The 15,309-nt window shown below is 56.5% G+C and overlaps 1 protein-coding gene, 1 non-coding gene and 1 pseudogene across 3 annotated transcripts, besides 15 other annotated features; all 3 read left to right on the forward strand.

The window, feature by feature from the left end:
- Window positions 8,161-8,799: an enhancer, noted in NCBI's record as "NANOG-H3K27ac-H3K4me1 hESC enhancer chr2:232571367-232572005 (GRCh37/hg19 assembly coordinates)". NCBI's record gives its function as "activates a minimal SCP1, AML or CMV promoter by ChIP-STARR-seq in primed H9 embryonic stem cells {active_cell/tissue: H9 hESC(primed)}" and the evidence as "EXISTENCE:reporter gene assay evidence [ECO:0000049][PMID:30033119]".
- Window positions 9,438-9,837: a silencer, noted in NCBI's record as "silent region_12440". NCBI's record gives its function as "represses an Ori minimal core promoter by ATAC-STARR-seq in GM12878 lymphoblastoid cells {active_cell/tissue: GM12878}" and the evidence as "EXISTENCE:reporter gene assay evidence [ECO:0000049][PMID:35858748]".
- Window positions 9,438-10,076: a biological region, named in NCBI's record as "NANOG-H3K27ac-H3K4me1 hESC enhancer GRCh37_chr2:232572645-232573282".
- Window positions 9,439-10,076: an enhancer, noted in NCBI's record as "NANOG-H3K27ac-H3K4me1 hESC enhancer chr2:232572645-232573282 (GRCh37/hg19 assembly coordinates)". NCBI's record gives its function as "activates a minimal SCP1, AML or CMV promoter by ChIP-STARR-seq in naive H9 embryonic stem cells {active_cell/tissue: H9 hESC(naive)}" and the evidence as "EXISTENCE:reporter gene assay evidence [ECO:0000049][PMID:30033119]".
- On the forward strand, window positions 10,029-15,055 carry PTMA (prothymosin alpha). 2 transcript variants are annotated; one of them, NM_001099285.2, is made up of 5 exons: window positions 10,029-10,255; window positions 12,852-12,923; window positions 13,391-13,487; window positions 13,947-14,020; window positions 14,308-15,055. In NM_001099285.2, exons 1-5 carry the CDS (start codon window positions 10,211-10,213, stop codon window positions 14,353-14,355), a joined length of 336 nt encoding a protein of 111 aa, NP_001092755.1. In that variant the 5' UTR covers window positions 10,029-10,210; the 3' UTR covers window positions 14,356-15,055. The 2 variants fall into 2 exon arrangements, with proteins under 2 accessions (NP_001092755.1, NP_002814.3); NM_002823.5 differs by having other exon boundaries at window positions 13,394-13,487.
- Window positions 10,077-10,715: an enhancer, noted in NCBI's record as "NANOG-H3K27ac-H3K4me1 hESC enhancer chr2:232573283-232573921 (GRCh37/hg19 assembly coordinates)". NCBI's record gives its function as "activates a minimal SCP1, AML or CMV promoter by ChIP-STARR-seq in primed H9 embryonic stem cells {active_cell/tissue: H9 hESC(primed)}" and the evidence as "EXISTENCE:reporter gene assay evidence [ECO:0000049][PMID:30033119]".
- Window positions 10,078-10,137: an enhancer, noted in NCBI's record as "active region_17312". NCBI's record gives its function as "activates an Ori minimal core promoter by ATAC-STARR-seq in GM12878 lymphoblastoid cells {active_cell/tissue: GM12878}" and the evidence as "EXISTENCE:reporter gene assay evidence [ECO:0000049][PMID:35858748]".
- Window positions 10,358-10,537: a silencer, noted in NCBI's record as "silent region_12441". NCBI's record gives its function as "represses an Ori minimal core promoter by ATAC-STARR-seq in GM12878 lymphoblastoid cells {active_cell/tissue: GM12878}" and the evidence as "EXISTENCE:reporter gene assay evidence [ECO:0000049][PMID:35858748]".
- Window positions 10,716-11,353: an enhancer, noted in NCBI's record as "NANOG-H3K27ac-H3K4me1 hESC enhancer chr2:232573922-232574559 (GRCh37/hg19 assembly coordinates)". NCBI's record gives its function as "activates a minimal SCP1, AML or CMV promoter by ChIP-STARR-seq in naive H9 embryonic stem cells {active_cell/tissue: H9 hESC(naive)}" and the evidence as "EXISTENCE:reporter gene assay evidence [ECO:0000049][PMID:30033119]".
- Window positions 10,968-11,277: a silencer, noted in NCBI's record as "silent region_12442". NCBI's record gives its function as "represses an Ori minimal core promoter by ATAC-STARR-seq in GM12878 lymphoblastoid cells {active_cell/tissue: GM12878}" and the evidence as "EXISTENCE:reporter gene assay evidence [ECO:0000049][PMID:35858748]".
- Window positions 11,768-12,177: a silencer, noted in NCBI's record as "silent region_12443". NCBI's record gives its function as "represses an Ori minimal core promoter by ATAC-STARR-seq in GM12878 lymphoblastoid cells {active_cell/tissue: GM12878}" and the evidence as "EXISTENCE:reporter gene assay evidence [ECO:0000049][PMID:35858748]".
- Window positions 11,768-12,657: a biological region, named in NCBI's record as "H3K27ac hESC enhancer GRCh37_chr2:232575199-232575835".
- Window positions 11,993-12,629: an enhancer, noted in NCBI's record as "H3K27ac hESC enhancer chr2:232575199-232575835 (GRCh37/hg19 assembly coordinates)". NCBI's record gives its function as "activates a minimal SCP1, AML or CMV promoter by ChIP-STARR-seq in naive H9 embryonic stem cells {active_cell/tissue: H9 hESC(naive)}" and the evidence as "EXISTENCE:reporter gene assay evidence [ECO:0000049][PMID:30033119]".
- Window positions 12,218-12,307: a silencer, noted in NCBI's record as "silent region_12444". NCBI's record gives its function as "represses an Ori minimal core promoter by ATAC-STARR-seq in GM12878 lymphoblastoid cells {active_cell/tissue: GM12878}" and the evidence as "EXISTENCE:reporter gene assay evidence [ECO:0000049][PMID:35858748]".
- Window positions 12,608-12,657: a silencer, noted in NCBI's record as "silent region_12445". NCBI's record gives its function as "represses an Ori minimal core promoter by ATAC-STARR-seq in GM12878 lymphoblastoid cells {active_cell/tissue: GM12878}" and the evidence as "EXISTENCE:reporter gene assay evidence [ECO:0000049][PMID:35858748]".
- LOC124906134 (uncharacterized) lies at window positions 13,029-13,112 on the forward strand (annotated as a pseudogene).
- Window positions 13,703-14,203: an enhancer, noted in NCBI's record as "H3K4me1 hESC enhancer chr2:232576909-232577409 (GRCh37/hg19 assembly coordinates)". NCBI's record gives its function as "activates a minimal SCP1, AML or CMV promoter by ChIP-STARR-seq in primed H9 embryonic stem cells {active_cell/tissue: H9 hESC(primed)}" and the evidence as "EXISTENCE:reporter gene assay evidence [ECO:0000049][PMID:30033119]".
- MIR1244-1 (microRNA 1244-1) lies at window positions 14,818-14,902 on the forward strand. Its single transcript, NR_036052.1, has one exon. It is a non-coding gene; the product is annotated as a microRNA 1244-1 (primary transcript).
- Window positions 15,056-15,309: the final 254 nt, after the last annotated feature.

Raw genomic sequence — 15,309 nt, forward strand, 5'->3', positions numbered from 1 at the left:
ACTGCACTCCAGCCTGGGTGACACAGCGACTCTGTCTCAAAATAAATTTTTTTTTTTTTTCGTAGAGATGGGGTCTCCTTATGTTGCCTAGGCTGGTCTCAAACTCCTAGGCTTAAGTGATCCTCCTGCCTCAGCCTCCCAAATTGCTGGGATTACAGGTGTGAGCCACTGTGCCCAGCCCCTGAAAATCTTTATTTATTCTTATTTATTTACTTACTTATTTATTTATTTATTTTTTGAGATGAAGTCTCGCTCTTGACCCCCAGGCTGGAGTGCAATGGCGTGATCTCGGCTCACTGCAACCTCCGCCTCCCGGGTTCAAGCAATTCTCCTGCCTCAGCCTTCTGAGTAGTTGGGATTACAGGTGCGCGCCACCATGCCTGGCTCATTTTTGTATTTTTAGTAGAGACGGGGTTTCACCATGTTGGCCAGGCTGGTCTCTAACTTCTGACCTCAGGTGATCTGCCCACCTCGGCCTCCCAAAGTGTTGGGATTACAGATGTGAGCCACCATGCTGGGCCGAGCCCCTGAAAATCTTAATTAAGGAAACTTCCAATGTATCACATAAGGCCCAAAAGGAGACTGATTCATACCAAGGTGATTCATACTTCAGGGTCTCAAAAATATGTCTTAACCAGGGCCTTTGTGCCTCAGCACCACGGCCCTGTGAAGAGTCAGGTCAAAGTGGGGACAAACAGCCACACTGCTCTCTCTCTGGGAGCTGGGCCATATTCTTCGTTCCGTTTAGTTAAGTGGGAATGCTGAGACCGTGCCAGCAGCGAAATGGATGAGAGGTGTCTGCCCAGTGCTTTTTTTTTTTGAGACAGAGTCTCACTGTGTCGCCCAGGCTGGAGTGCAATGGTGCAATCTTGGCTCACTGCAACCTCCATCTCCCAGGTTCGGGCGATTCTCCTGCCTCAGCCTCCCAAGTAGCTGGGATTACAGGCATCTGCCACCACGCCTGGATAATTTTTGTATTTTTAGTAGAGACGGGGTTTCACCATGTTGGCCAGGCTGGTCTCGAACTCCTGACCTCAGGTGATCCACCCTCCTCAGGCTCCCAAAGTGCTGGGATTACAGGCATGAGCCACCGTGCCCAGTGAGATAACACTGTTACAGCATCTAACAGCAAGAGGATGGCATAACCAGGAGAAAGATGCTGGAAGGGGCCGTAAATGACCACAATTCAAGGTCGGGCCACAACTTGCCAGGCTCGGGAGAACTCACTGAGGCTGAGGACAGCTTGGGAAGCTCTCGGTCCAGGTGCTGACTGGCAGCTTTCCCCTCGGACTTCACATGTGCATGGGACTCGAGCTTTCCTGGAAAGGCGCCCACCTTGCCTTCCCCTCCCTGATGAGGCTTCACTTCTGGGTGATGCTGCATCCTATTTTGAGGTTTTCCTATAGAATTGTTCAAGTGAGATTCCTCCTGTGAGATTCTCAGAAAATGTCTTGGAGGAAAGAATGTTTCTGAAAGGAGCCTGAGAAATCTCTTCCCCTTCTAGAGACGCTTGCTCTGCCGGGAGCTAGAAAGGAACGGATCTCCATGCTCTGGACCTCATTAGCGAACCTTACCTTGGAGGCAGCTGAGAGCCCTCCCGAGGGGTCCTGATCCTGGGCACCAGCTCGCTCTGTGATCTACCTAAGCCCTTCAATCCCCCGACTCTGCAATGTGAAATCCAAATGCTCCCGGTGTCCTTGTAGCTCTGTCACCCTGGATTCTTGTGGCAAAGAGAGATGGATCTCAGTGGGAGGCTGGTTTTGGATGGAGGGCCACAGGGACTCATGGTCTTGGTGGTGGTTACAGATTTCTTGAGAAATGTCATTCTTTGGCCGGGCACAGTGGCTCACGCCTGTAATCCAGCACTCTGGGAGGCTGAGGCAGGAAGATCACTTAAGGGCAGGAGTGCGAGACCAGCCTGCATAACATAGGGAAACCCGGTTTCTATGAAAAATTAAAAAATTAGCTGGGTGTGGTGGTGCGCACCTGTAGTTCCAGCTACTTGGAGGCTGACGTGGGAAGATCACGTGAGCCCAAGAGGTTGAGGCTGCAGTGAGCAGAGATTGCGCCGCCACTACACTCCAGCCTGGGCAGCAGAGAGAGACCCTGTCTCAAAAAAAAAAAAAAAAAGAAAAAAGAAAAGAAATGTTCCCAGTATGTGATAAGGAGTGAACTAGTGAACTAGTATGAGCAACATGTCCCAGTTTGCCCAGGAGTTTTTCTAGTTGTGGCACTGAGAGTCCTGCATCCTGGGAATCCCTCAGTCAAACAGGGACTGTCGGTCACCCGTCGTCCGTAGCTCCCTGTGGTAGGAGGAGGGTGAGCCAGTCCGAGTTGGTGGTGTGTCCTCCCCTCGCCTCTGCCCTCTGCTCCTTACACCTTTCTCCCCAAACAAGGTGGGGAGATTCTCTGCCAGAGAAGGGAAGGTAGAAAAGACCTGTTTAAGATGAACAGAGAAGATGCAGTGAGCTGAGATCGTGCTGCTGCACTCCAGCCTCAGTGACATAGTGGGACCCTGTCTAAAAAAAAAAAAAAAGAGCTGGACACGGTGGCTCACACGCCTGTAATCCCAGCACTTTGGGAGGCCAAGGCAGGTGGATCACCTGAGGTCGGGAGTTCACGACCAGCCTGACTGAGATGGGGAAACCCTGTCTCTACTACAAATACAAAATTAGCCAGGCATGGTGACGCATGCCTGCAATCTCAGCTACTCAGGAGGCTGAGGCAGGAGAATTGCTTGAACCCAGGAGGCAGAGGTTGCGGTGAGCTGAGTTTGGTTTGCCCCATTGCACTCCAGCCTGGGCAACAAGGGTGAAACTCCTTCTTAAAAAAAAAAAAATTAACAGAGAAGGGGAAAGAGTAAGTGTCAGGATGTCGCAGAGCCTGCCCTCCTCACCCTCACGATTATCAGGGCTTGGCCTCCTGCTTGGCACGGGCACACAGACGCTCCTCAGGGCCTACTTGGGCCTCCTGGTCTTCGGGCTCCCATGTGGGGCCGCGCAGCAGGAAGTCACATAGTGGTGTCCAACCTTTCCTCGGGTGCAATGCTCTTGTGGGCATTCACAGGTAGGGTGCCCAGGTGTGTGCCTGCTCATGTGCTCCCCCAACTAGCACCTTTCCCTGCTGCCGTGCTGCTGGGCCCACCCACTCACGAACTGTAACCGGAACTTCAGCAAAACACCCACGGAACTCGAGCTATGCAAATAGGTGCACACACACGGAGGGATCCAGGGAAGAGAGCCAGGAAGTGACACAGGCAGGCAGAGGATTCCTGGAGGGATCTGAAGGAGCATGTGTACAGGGAGTCAAGGACTGGCACGATGGCCTTTTGCTGTCCGGGGGCAGTGGCGTCTGTGCACACTGCACACTCACCTCTCCCAGCCTCCTTACCTATGCTCATGCCCGGGCCCCACAGGCCTTGGCATCGGTTTGGGGACAGGCCTGGAACATTAAGAGACATTTCCCACCCTCTCCCTGTAGGAACCTCCCAGGGTGGCCAGACCTGTGTGAGTACCAGGAGCCAGGTCTCTGGCACAGCTCCCCAGGAGAATGGGCAGGCCTGGGCGTGCTGAGGGAGCAGGCGTTGGGGGCTCTTACACAATCCCAGCCAGGCTCGCAAGGCGGGAGGGTAGAAAGGCTCCTGGCAGCTCCCCAGGCCCTTATGCCTGGATAAGGAAACCACAGTCTGAAACTCCTGGGTTTCTGAAGGGCTGGAAGGCGGGATTTTTTGAGACCTGCTCCACTCCACCTGCCTCCCAGACTCTGTCATGCCTTTGAGGCCAGAGGGGCTGCCAAGCATGTCGGGCACCAAATCACAGGCTTCCAGAAACTAGAGAGGCCAGTGCCCTCATTTCCCACTGAATACGGAAAGAACTTGCTGAAGACATTGTTCCTTTGTCCAGAGTCCTACAAGCTCTGTAAAGCCAACCCACTTAGGTACAGATAGCAGCTGGAAAATGGGGTGCAGTGGTTTCCCAAATGTGTCGGACACTATTTTAAGCACTTTCTGAATATTAACTTATTCAATTCTCACAATAATCCTGCAAAGTAGGAACTATTATTGTCTTCTCTTTTTTATTTGTTTTTATTATTTTTTTAATATGAAGTCTCACTCTGTTGTCCAAGCTGGAGTGCAGTGGCGCTATATCAACTCACTACAACCTCCACCTCCCGGGTTCAAGTGATTCTCCTGCCTCAGCCTCCTGAGTAGCTGGGACTACAGGCACGCGCCACCATGCCTGGCTAATTTTTGTATTTTTAGTAGAGATGGGGTTTCACTATGTTGGCCATGCTGTTCTCTAACTCCTGACCTCGTGATCAGTCTGCCTCGGCCTCCCAAAGTGCTGAGATTATAGGCGTGAGCCACCATGCCCGGCCTCTCTTTTTTATTTTTAATTTTTATTTTTATTTTTTATTTTTTGAGAAGAAGTTTCACTCTTGTCACCCAGGCTGGAGTGCAGTGGTGCCATCTTGGCTCACTGCAACCTCCGCCTGCCGAGTTCAAGCGATTCTCCTGCCTCAGCCTCCCGAGTAGCTGGGATTACAGGTGCCCACCACCGCGCCCAGCTAATTTTTGTATTTTTAGTAGAGACGGGGTTTCACCACATTGGCCAGGGTGGTCTCGAACTCCTGACCTCAGGTGATTGCCCGCCTTGGCCTCCCAAAGTGCGGGGATTACAGGTGTGAGCCATCACACCCAGCTTATTTTTAAATTTATTATTATTTTTTATTTTTCTCGAGACGGAGTCTTGCTCTGTTGCCCAGGCTGGAGTGCAATGGAGCAATCTTGGCTCTGCAACCTCCACCTCCTGGGTTCAAGTGATTCTCCTGCCTCAGCTTCCAGAATAGCTGGATTATAGGCGTGCACCACCATACCCAGCTAATTTTTTGTATTTTTAGTAGAGATGGGGTTTTACTATGTTGGCCAGGCTGGTCTTGAACTCCTGATCTCGTGATCCGCCCGCCTCAGCCTCCCAAAGTGCTGGGATTACAGGCGTGAGCCACAGCGCCTGGCCTATTTTTTATTTTTTAAGACAGAGTCTTGCTGTGTTGCCCAGGCTGGAGTACAGTGACACCATCATGGCTCACTGCAGCCTCAACCTCCTGGACTCAAACAATCCACTCACCTCAGCCTTCTGAGTAGCTGGGACTACAGGCACATGCCACCATGCCCGGCTAATTTTTAAAAAATTTTTAGAGTCGATGTTTCGTCATGTTGCCGAGACTGGTCTCCAACTCCGGAGCTCAAGCAATCCTCCTGCTTAGGCCTCCCAAAGTGCTGGGGATAGAGGTGTGAGCCACCACACCTGGCCGTCCTCTCTGTTTCTTAGAGGAGAGAAAGTAACTTGCCCAATTCACAAAGCTAGTGTATGTCAGGGCTGCCATTTGAACCCAGGCAGCTTAAAAATTCATTCTGCCTGATCTTTTGGGGATCAAGCAGATTTGTGAGATAACCAATTAGAAATATGTTGTAAATGGCTTTAGGAGCAGGCTTAGTTGCAAACTGAAGTGCCCACAGGGCCAGGCAGATGAAATCAATGTGTTACTCAGGCTGGGCGGGGAGAGGCCTGTGGGCCATGTGGACAGTGTGTAGACCACCCAGAGGTGTCCCTGTGAAAATTCCCCCAAAACAAGCCAGGCACAGTAGCAAGCATCTGTTGTCCCAGCTACTCAGGAGGCTGAGGTGCGAGGATAGCTTGAGCTCAGGAGTTGGAGTTCAGCTTGGGCAACATAGCAAGACCCCATCTCAAAACAAAACAAAACATGCCTGGAGGACATATTGGGTCCCTTGCTCACAGCAGCTCTAGCCGAAGCCCACTGTATCTCAGGCTGGGGTCAGGAAAGCAGGCTTACCAGGGCACACCAGCTTGTCTTGGGGGGTTTGAAGGGCAAGGTCACCAAAGTGCCTGACTTCCTCTGTAATAACAAAGGGCATGAGATGTATCAATGAGTGGAAGTGACAGAGGACAGGAAGAATAGTCTGTTCAGAAACAGCAAAAGAGGGCCGGTGTGGTGGCTCATGCCTGTAATCCCAGCACTTTGGGAGGCTGAGGCGGGCGGATCACTTGAGGTCAGGAGTTTGAGACCACCCTGGCCAACATGGTGAAACCCCGTCTCTACTAAAAATACAAAAATTAGCTGGGCATGGTAGCAGGTACCTGTAATCCTGGCTTCTCAGGAGGCTGAGGGAGGCAGGAGAATCACTTGAACCCACGAGGCGGAGGTTGCAGTGAGCCAAGATCATGCCAATGCACCCCAGCCTGGGCAACAGAGTGAAACTTCGTCTCAAAAAAAAAAAAGCCTGGCACGGTGGCTCACGCCTGTCATCCCAGCACTTTGGGAGGCCGAGGTGGGCGGATCATGAGGTCAGGAGTTTGAGACCAGCCTGGACAATATGGTGAAACCCCGTCTGTACTAAAAATACAAAAATAGTAAACCCCATCTGTACTAAAAATACAAAAATTGGCCAGGCATGGTGGTGCACGCCTGTAGTCCCAGCTACTCGGGAGGCTGAGGCAGAAGAATCCCTTGAACCCGGGAGGCGGAGGTTGTGGTGAGCTGAGATCACGCCACTGCACTCCAGCCTGGGCTGAACAGAGTGAGACTCTGTCTCAAAAAAAAAAAAAAAAAAAAGAAACAGCAAAAGAGGTAGGGAGCTACCTGTTGCTGAAGGAACACGGTTCTTCATAGCCTAAATAACTCCCCCACTATGAGCTGTCAGATACCACACTCCTGGGATGAGAGGGAGGTCCATGGGGGCAACTTCTGCCCCAGGGCTCATCTAAAAATGCAGATTCCTCTGTTTTAGGACTTAGCCTCGGCTCCATCATTGATCCAGTGGGTAACTCCAAGTCCCTTGCTATAATCTCTAGGTTTGCTTTTTTGATTTGTTAAAAGGAGGGTTATATCAGAAGTTGAACCTGTAAATGTGTTGATTTTCAGTTCGTTTTCACCTACATAGACATCAGTTTCATATGGTTCAACTCCATAACTGTCCTACCCACCTTGTACATGAAAATGAAGCATGAGTCAAAGGCTCACTGCCATGTACACAGCGGGCATTCAGTGAGTGTTTGGGAAATTTAAGTGGTGGTTCTGGAACCAGATGGGCATGAGCCTTCCTCACCCACTTCTAGCAAAGGCACCTGCATGGGAATAACGTCAGAAAACAGTTCTTTTTTTGTTTTTTTTTTTGAGATGGAGTCTCACTCTGTTGCCCAGGCTGGAGTGCAATGGCGTGATCTCAGCTCCTGCAACCTCTGCCTCCCGGATTCAAGCGATTCTCCTGTCTCAGCCTCCCGAGTAGCTGGGATTACAGGCGCACGCCACCAGGCCCGGCTAATTTTTGTATTTTTAGTAGAGACGGGGGTTTCACTATGTTGGTCAGGCTGGTCTCGAACTCCTGACCTCGTGATCCACTCACCTCGGCATCCACCCACCTCAGCCTCCCAAAGTGCTGGAATTACAAGCGTGAGCCACCGCGCCCGGCCAGGCAAAGCAGTTCTTAGAGGGAAATTCACATTCATCAGTTCCTTCTGGGTGTTTGACCTTCCCGCTCCCACAACAGCCTGAATCCAGAACTGTCAAGTCTGGTTTTCAGCTATGGACACAGTCCACTGCCCGAAGGCCACCATCCAGACGACGGGGAAGCCTTGATGGCCTTTCCGGAGCCACTGCCCGAAGGCCACCACCCAGACGAGGGGGAAGCCTCGATGCTTAGAGATGGTACAAGCCAGGCTCTCATTGCATCTGGGTTTCGTGGAAAAAACAATCCTCTCGAGGGTAACTGGAACTTAATGGATGCGCCGCAGGTGGAAGGCGCTCTGTCCCCCTGTTTACGATGACGCATAATCCCTCCAACTCTCTGAGAATGTGACACAAAGGAGGGGGTCACGGTGGCTGAGGTCAAGGAGCCCTTCCTCTGTGAAGGGCGGCCCCAGGTCTGCGCGGCGGTGAAGACAGACTGGCAGTGGGAGGGAGGGAACCCGACAAAGAGTTGAGACGCGTAGTCCTCGGGAACAGCACTGTGGAAGTCCCCCGGATTGAGGCGCGCCCGTCCAGTGGAGAATGCCACCTCCAGCCACTGGGGCGCCTGGGGGCAGGGCGGAGACACAGCGGGCGTCCCTTCGCCGCTGCATAGGAGGGCGACCGCTGGGCAGCGGGTGTTGGCGCGGTATCCCCGCCCTGCCCAGCATCTGCCCCACGTTTCTTCAGGCTAAACTACCGGGATCCCGGGCTTCTTCCTAAAGTAAAACTCGCTCCGGAAAGGCCAACAGTCCAGCGGCCAGACGGGCACCTGGGAACGCGGGCCTAACGCGTACTGGAGACGGAGTGGCGCCCGGCACTGCGCGCCTCCTCCCCGCCGGGAGACTGCGTGCTAAGCTCAGCAAAGCCCCGCTGTGGAGACGGAGCCATGTCGCCCATTACCTAATGAAACTGAGAAGGGAGACTCAGTCTCTCTTCTAGCCCCGAGCGCAAGCTCTGCTGGACTTGGCATCGTCCGCCCTCCACGATCCCACACTCCGGGTTTTCCCCATTCCCAGCTCGGCTGCAACCGAGAGACAGACGGAAGAAACTGCCAATGGAAGGACGCAAAGCGTCAACTTTGTGTTCGCCCGCCACTCTCGGCCAATGTGCGCTCGTGTCTCCGGAGTCCCGCCTTCCGTGTCGGGCGCCCCCTTTTGGCAGCACAGGGACGAACCCTACGTCTCGCCATCTTGTGTGTGGCACAGGTAAATTTCTGGACTATCTTTCCACCTATTCTGGTCCTTTTTCCCACACAACCGATTTCTTAGTTCGACAGCTAAGTGCGGTGGCGATAAGGCCAGCGTAGCCTGTTGTTCTCGGATCGCCCACGTGAGCTAGATCGCTACGTCACGCCACGCTTGCCGAGCCCGGCGCCATCTTGAGTGTGGCGTTTTGATGCTCCCCTTTCTCGGGGCTCCGCATGGTTCTCTAAATGGTCCCCCAAATTTCAGGTAGTCCCCAAAGATTAGCCCAACTGGCTCCAGAGACGATGATTTTTCCCGAGGAACTCTGTAATGTTCATGTGCCCATCGCAGTCCAGCAGTGGGGTGGGAGAAGGGTAGACTCGATGGCCCGGCAGGCCCCTGGAGGAGGCTGCCCTGAGGCTGTCGCGACGGCAGTGACCGCTCGGGACAGACCCTAACTAGAAACCTAGAATGAGGGGACCGCTATGCCGTGCGGGGCCCGCGGGCTGTCCCACTCGAGGGCTGGAGCCGGCATCGCGCATCGAGTCCGCTTGATACATGAATCCGTGTGTGCTTGGGACGGTGCCCGCTTGTCGACTGACTTGGCCGACGGACGCCGGACCTGATGGTGGGCAATCGAGGTCGCCTGCCCACAGGACTAGGGGTGCCCTGCCCTGGGAGGGCGCGAGGGCATGGCAGAGGGACGGGGCGGCCCAGGTGCCCGGGTCTCGGCCTCGTGACCTCGTTGCTCGTCGTGGGGCTGCCGTCCACTTGCACTGGGACAATCCTTGGTCCAAGGCGCCCAGGCGCGGGGGGCGGGCACCTCCGCGGGCACTGCGCTGGGCACCGCCCGGGGCGAGCGCGGCCCAGCACCCCGCCTTCCCCTCCCCCGCGCTGGCAGCCGTCGTGTGCCCGCCGCCCCCTCTTCCCTCCCCCTCCTTCCGAGCAGCCGCGGGGAGGGCGGGAGAGGGAGGGAAGGGGGTTGGGCGGGCAGCTTTGCCGCGCTTTGGCTTTCTGCGTCAGCAGCCCCAGCAAAACAGCTGCGGGAGCGCGCGTCCGGAACGCGCTCGCGCACCCCTCCCCCGCGCCCTCGGCCCTGCTGAGACCCGGCAAACTCCGGCCTTGAATGACAGTGCGATCGGCGACTGCGCAGCGCGGGACGCGCCGGGGCACTGCCGCTTTAAGCACGCTTGTCCATTGTTCGGAATCGAGCCAATGAGCGAGCGCCCGCTCCCTGCGCTCAGCCAATAGCGGCCGGGCATGGGAAGCCGAGCGCCGCCCACTAATCTATATTAAAGCTTCTGGCGCCGCGTGAGTCCCCCACTGGCTGCTCTGAAAAGCCATCTTTGCATTGTTCCTCATCCGCCTCCTTGCTCGCCGCAGCCGCCTCCGCCGCGCGCCTCCTCCGCCGCCGCGGACTCCGGCAGCTTTATCGCCAGAGTCCCTGAACTCTCGCTTTCTTTTTAATCCCCTGCATCGGATCACCGGCGTGCCCCACCATGTCAGACGCAGCCGTAGACACCAGCTCCGAAATCACCACCAAGGTGAGGCTGGACGCCGCCCGCCCCCTCGGGGTCCGCGCGCCGCCGCTCGGGCGGTGTTTGGCGCGCAGCAGCTGGACTGTCTCAAGCCCGCTGTTGCTCCCTCTCGCGGGGAAACGGCCCGCCCCCGGCGCGGTGCCCTCAGGCAGCCCACTCTTTGTGTGGTGCGGGGGAGGGGGCGGGAACCGCCGCGGGCAGACGTGATGCCCGTCGGGGAGTGGGCCGGGCGCCCTCGGGGGCCGAGGGCTAGGCGCGGAGGCCGGCTCACGGCCCTCGAAACTCGTCTGTGGCCGGTATGAGTGGCGGCGGGAGGAGAAGAGCCTGGCTGGGGGTCGTCGGCCCGCCGGGCGCACGGAAATAACTTTGAAACTCAAGCGCGTTGGGAATCGGAAGTGCTGGGGGGCGCGTGTTGGGGCGCGGGCCGGCCGCGGGAAGTGGCGGCGAGCGCCCGCCGGCCGCGCTGCTCTTTGTTCGGCGCCAGGCCGGCGGTTTCGCGCCCTGCAGCGGACCTGAGGTGGTTTGTCTAGACTAAGTCCCGATAAGGCGGATGGGGCGACGGGCTGGCTGGCCGCGACGTCGGCCGTCCCGGCGGAGGTGTGACGGGCTTATCCGCTTTGGGCGCTCTGGGAGGCGGGGGTGGGCGCCCTTCGAGGTGAGTGCGCCGGGAGCGGCCGCCCAGCTTCAGTCATGCACCCGCGGTGCCGGGCTTGGCTGAGGAGGCGAGAGCCCACGCGCCGCAGGGAGGAAAGAGAAAGTGAAGCGCGGCGCTGGGGCGACGATGGGCGCCCCCCGCGGCTGCCCGGGAGCACCGTGTGCGCCGCAGCTCGGGGCGACGCGGGCCAACACGGCGGCCGCGACAGGCCAATGGTAGGGTCGAACTGGGGGGGCGCCCGGGCCCCGTGGCGGGTTCACTGCCCTCGGCTATGAGGTCCTGCGCGGCTGGTGCGGCTCCGCTCCTGTTGTCGGCGCCGCCTCGGTCCCACTGCCCGCCCTGGGTAGCGTCTCCGCCCTTGGCGGGAGCGGGGCGCTCTCAGACTGACTGGCTCTTTCTTAATATTTCGGCCCTCGTCCGCGCCCGTCGTGCCCCTGCAGGGATTGGCGCGAGTCACCTTGGCGTCTCCTTAACCCTTGTGTCCCTGGCGTCATCTCTGACTCTCCCAGGGGCGACTTCTTGGCAGAGCGGAGCTCGGGGCCCGGATCTCCACAGGGGCTCTCAGTGACCCCTTCTGGACTCAGTCCGGGAATGAGTTTGTGGGGTGAGAACACCGTCCCCAGTGCGGGGCCTGGCTGTTCGATTTTCTCCGAAGCACCAAAAGGTGACTTCCCGCGAGGGCGATGAGTAGTAGCCCGAGAGGCGCATCCCCGACAGTCTCGGACCTACGCAGCCCGGTGGACTTTGGGGCGACCTCCCGTGGGACTTGGCCCGCCGAATGCAGACATTCGGGCCTGCCGGGGTGGCGGCAGTGGGGCGTCGAGTCGAGAGCCCGGCCGACCGACGCGCGACCCGCGCGCGTGCCACTGCAAGCTCTGCCTGCCGGCCGGGAGTCTCCAAGGCAAGGGACGCACTCGGCGGCCCCGGGCCACGTGCTCCCTGCGCGCGGTGCGTGCCGAGGCCCGCGCGCAAAGCCCGCCGGGCGGGGGATGCGCGCCTGCGCGCCGCGACCTCCCTGCCCCCACTGCTCCCCGGGGCTTCGGCCGCCAGGGGGCGAGAGCGGGCGGAGCCGGGGTCCGCGGAGCGGAGCGGGGCGGGCCGGACTGAGAGGGCCGACAGGTGGCCCGGAGCCGCTCGCCGGACAGCGGCCGAGGGGTTCCCGCAGGCCCGGACGCCGGACCTCTGTTGGTATTGGTGGCCGTGTCGTGTGGAAAAAGTTACCGGGCGCCCGGGGCCGCGCTGCCTTTTGGATCCCGGGCGGAGTCCCACCCCCGAGGTGCTGTCGGGATCCCTAGCCGCCGCGGGGAGGCCGGGAGTTGGTGGCTCCGGCGGCAGGCCCCGGCCTGGGGCACCGCCAAGCAGCGGTTTGCGGCCTCTAGGAACAGCGGTCGGATTTGGGGGGTCGGTGTGCTTTGGCTTTTTTAGATACCTGTCCTGGCCGGGGCGGTGCGGCCTCGCGGGCCTTCCAGGCTGGCGCGCCTGTGGGGCTCTCCCCGAGCGCAGGCCCCTCTCTCTTTGCCTTATTTATTTTTGGAACATAACCTGCCGCCTTTCTAGACGGCTCGAGGGGCGGGCTCTTTGCACTTGGAAGCAGGCTGATGGGCGTGAGTGTCCGGGGCTCGTCCACCCGGCCGGACGGGCTGGGGGCTGTGGCGCCACATGGCTCCTTTTTCCTGGGAAGCGCCAGGGGGCAGTGGGAACCGCCACCGGGGCCGCTGTAGCGGGCCTTAAAGGATGGGAAACCTTGATCACAGATGCCCCCCGCCGGCCTTCCTTCCACCAGACCAGTGGGAGAGGGACCGCAGGGGCATCAGGCCTTTCTCAACATGCGACTCTTAATTTGGGACGGACAGAACAGCCGTACAGACCAGTAGTTCTCAGCGCCTTTGCTTACCCTGGGTTGCTCAGAAGACTTACTGGTTACTGGTTCCTTCTTCCCTTTTGAAGGACTTAAAGGAGAAGAAGGAAGTTGTGGAAGAGGCAGAAAATGGAAGAGACGCCCCTGCTAACGGGAATGCTGTGAGTGTCTGCTTTGCTCCTGAGCCCTGGCAGCTACCGCCCCACAAAATTTTTCCTGTTCTACTTTAAACATACCTATATATGTGTGTGTATGTGTATATGTATAGCTTTGCACAGTGGCAGTATCGTAGCCAATGAGCTTTACCCGAGGCGCGATTATTGCTAGTTAAATATTTATAAAAACCTTTCGAGCAGCGCCTGAACAAGAATAGGTTCAGAGGAGACTCCGGTAGTCTGAGTTTGGGCTTGGCCCAGGGTGGGGAAAAGCCCTTGTCCTGGGGCAGTTAATGTGCAGGTTTCATGATGGAGCCTGGAGGGTGTTGACTGGAGAAGGGTCTCTGGGGTGGGCTTGGCTTGGCTGGGCTGTAGATGCAGCCGCCAGCCTCTGGTGGGAGGCCGGGCATCAGGAGCAACGCTCTGTCCAGCCTGGGGCCAGCTGGTAATGACATGGCCTGTTTTCTGTCGAGGAGAATGAGGAAAATGGGGAGCAGGAGGCTGACAATGAGGTAGACGAAGAAGAGGAAGAAGGTGGGGAGGAAGAGGAGGAGGAAGAAGAAGGTGATGGTGAGTAGCCTTGTCTATCTTCCCCTTTTCAGGTACTTTTTCCTGGCCTTGTCTGGCAGAAGGGGAAGGAAGGAATTGGGGCTCCTGGGAGTGGGACAATGGTACTTGGGGCCAGTGGACCACATGGCCCTGGGCACCCACCTGTAGAGTCAGGGAAGGTCTCCCTGACATGGAGTTGTGCCCATGCCCACTCACACTCACTCGCACACCTGAAAGTTTCTTTCGTGCAGCTCTGAAAGCCACTGATCTATTGGGCTGGCCTTTTGGGGTGCAGCTGCTTGGGCCTCTCTCCTCTGGAGAGTCCCACCTGTGTAGTGGGCGTGGGTGCCCTGATTGGGCCCAGTTGCAGGCAGTAGAGGCAGGGCAGGGACCTTGCAGTCCACTACATGTTCCTCGGGATTTCCCCAGGAGCCACAGTAGGAGGGAAGTGTGGTTTACCTGGCCTTTGATTCTCTCCAGGTGAGGAAGAGGATGGAGATGAAGATGAGGAAGCTGAGTCAGCTACGGGCAAGCGGGCAGCTGAAGATGATGAGGTGGGTTCTGGCTTGAGAAGAAGGGGGGTTTGGCATCTGGGTCTCCCCACCTGCCTTTAGCTGAGGTGCTCAAGCTGCGGAGGGACTGTTTCTGACTTTGTAGGTGGCCACTGTGTGGTCCTGAATCTTAAGAACAGGAAGGAAACAGGGCTGGGCTCAACTTCCCAGAGGCCTTGGGCTGTGGAGCTGGGGGTCCCTGGTTCTTGCTCTGCCAGCAGGAGCTGAGGCAGTGGGCTGGATAGGGCTCCTGGGGTTGGAGGGGCCTTTGACAGTCTTTCTCTGCTTAGGATGACGATGTCGATACCAAGAAGCAGAAGACCGACGAGGATGACTAGACAGCAAAAAAGGAAAAGTTAAACTAAAAAAAAAAAGGCCGCCGTGACCTATTCACCCTCCACTTCCCGTCTCAGAATCTAAACGTGGTCACCTTCGAGTAGAGAGGCCCGCCCGCCCACCGTGGGCAGTGCCACCCGCAGATGACACGCGCTCTCCACCACCCAACCCAAACCATGAGAATTTGCAACAGGGGAGGAAAAAAGAACCAAAACTTCCAAGGCCCTGCTTTTTTTCTTAAAAGTACTTTAAAAAGGAAATTTGTTTGTATTTTTTATTTACATTTTATATTTTTGTACATATTGTTAGGGTCAGCCATTTTTAATGATCTCGGATGACCAAACCAGCCTTCGGAGCGTTCTCTGTCCTACTTCTGACTTTACTTGTGGTGTGACCATGTTCATTATAATCTCAAAGGAGAAAAAAAACCTTGTAAAAAAAGCAAAAATGACAACAGAAAAACAATCTTATTCCGAGCATTCCAGTAACTTTTTTGTGTATGTACTTAGCTGTACTATAAGTAGTTGGTTTGTATGAGATGGTTAAAAAGGCCAAAGATAAAAGGTTTCTTTTTTTTTCCTTTTTTGTCTATGAAGTTGCTGTTTATTTTTTTTGGCCTGTTTGATGTATGTGTGAAACAATGTTGTCCAACAATAAACAGGAATTTTATTTTGCTGAGTTGTTCTAACAAAGCTGTCTCAAGCCTGGTTTTTCTGTTTCAGTTTCTTCAGACCTTCCAGGGCACAAGGATAGGAGGGGGAGGATCCTGGGGACAGTGGGTTGACATTTTGGGAGGCAGTTGGATGTGTCCTGTGATGGGCAGCAGAGTCTGGTGGGTGGGCAGGGACTGAGCTGCAGTTGGCTGGGGGGGCTGCTCACTGGGGCAGTCAGTGATTGCCCCAAGAAGCCTTAACTGGGGAGGAGGACTTCATCACTGGGTGCCACATGGGGACCCT

The sequence above is a fragment of the Homo sapiens genome, chromosome 2, assembly GCF_000001405.40.
Source record: "Homo sapiens chromosome 2, GRCh38.p14 Primary Assembly".
Classification (NCBI taxonomy): Eukaryota; Metazoa; Chordata; class Mammalia; order Primates; family Hominidae; genus Homo; species Homo sapiens.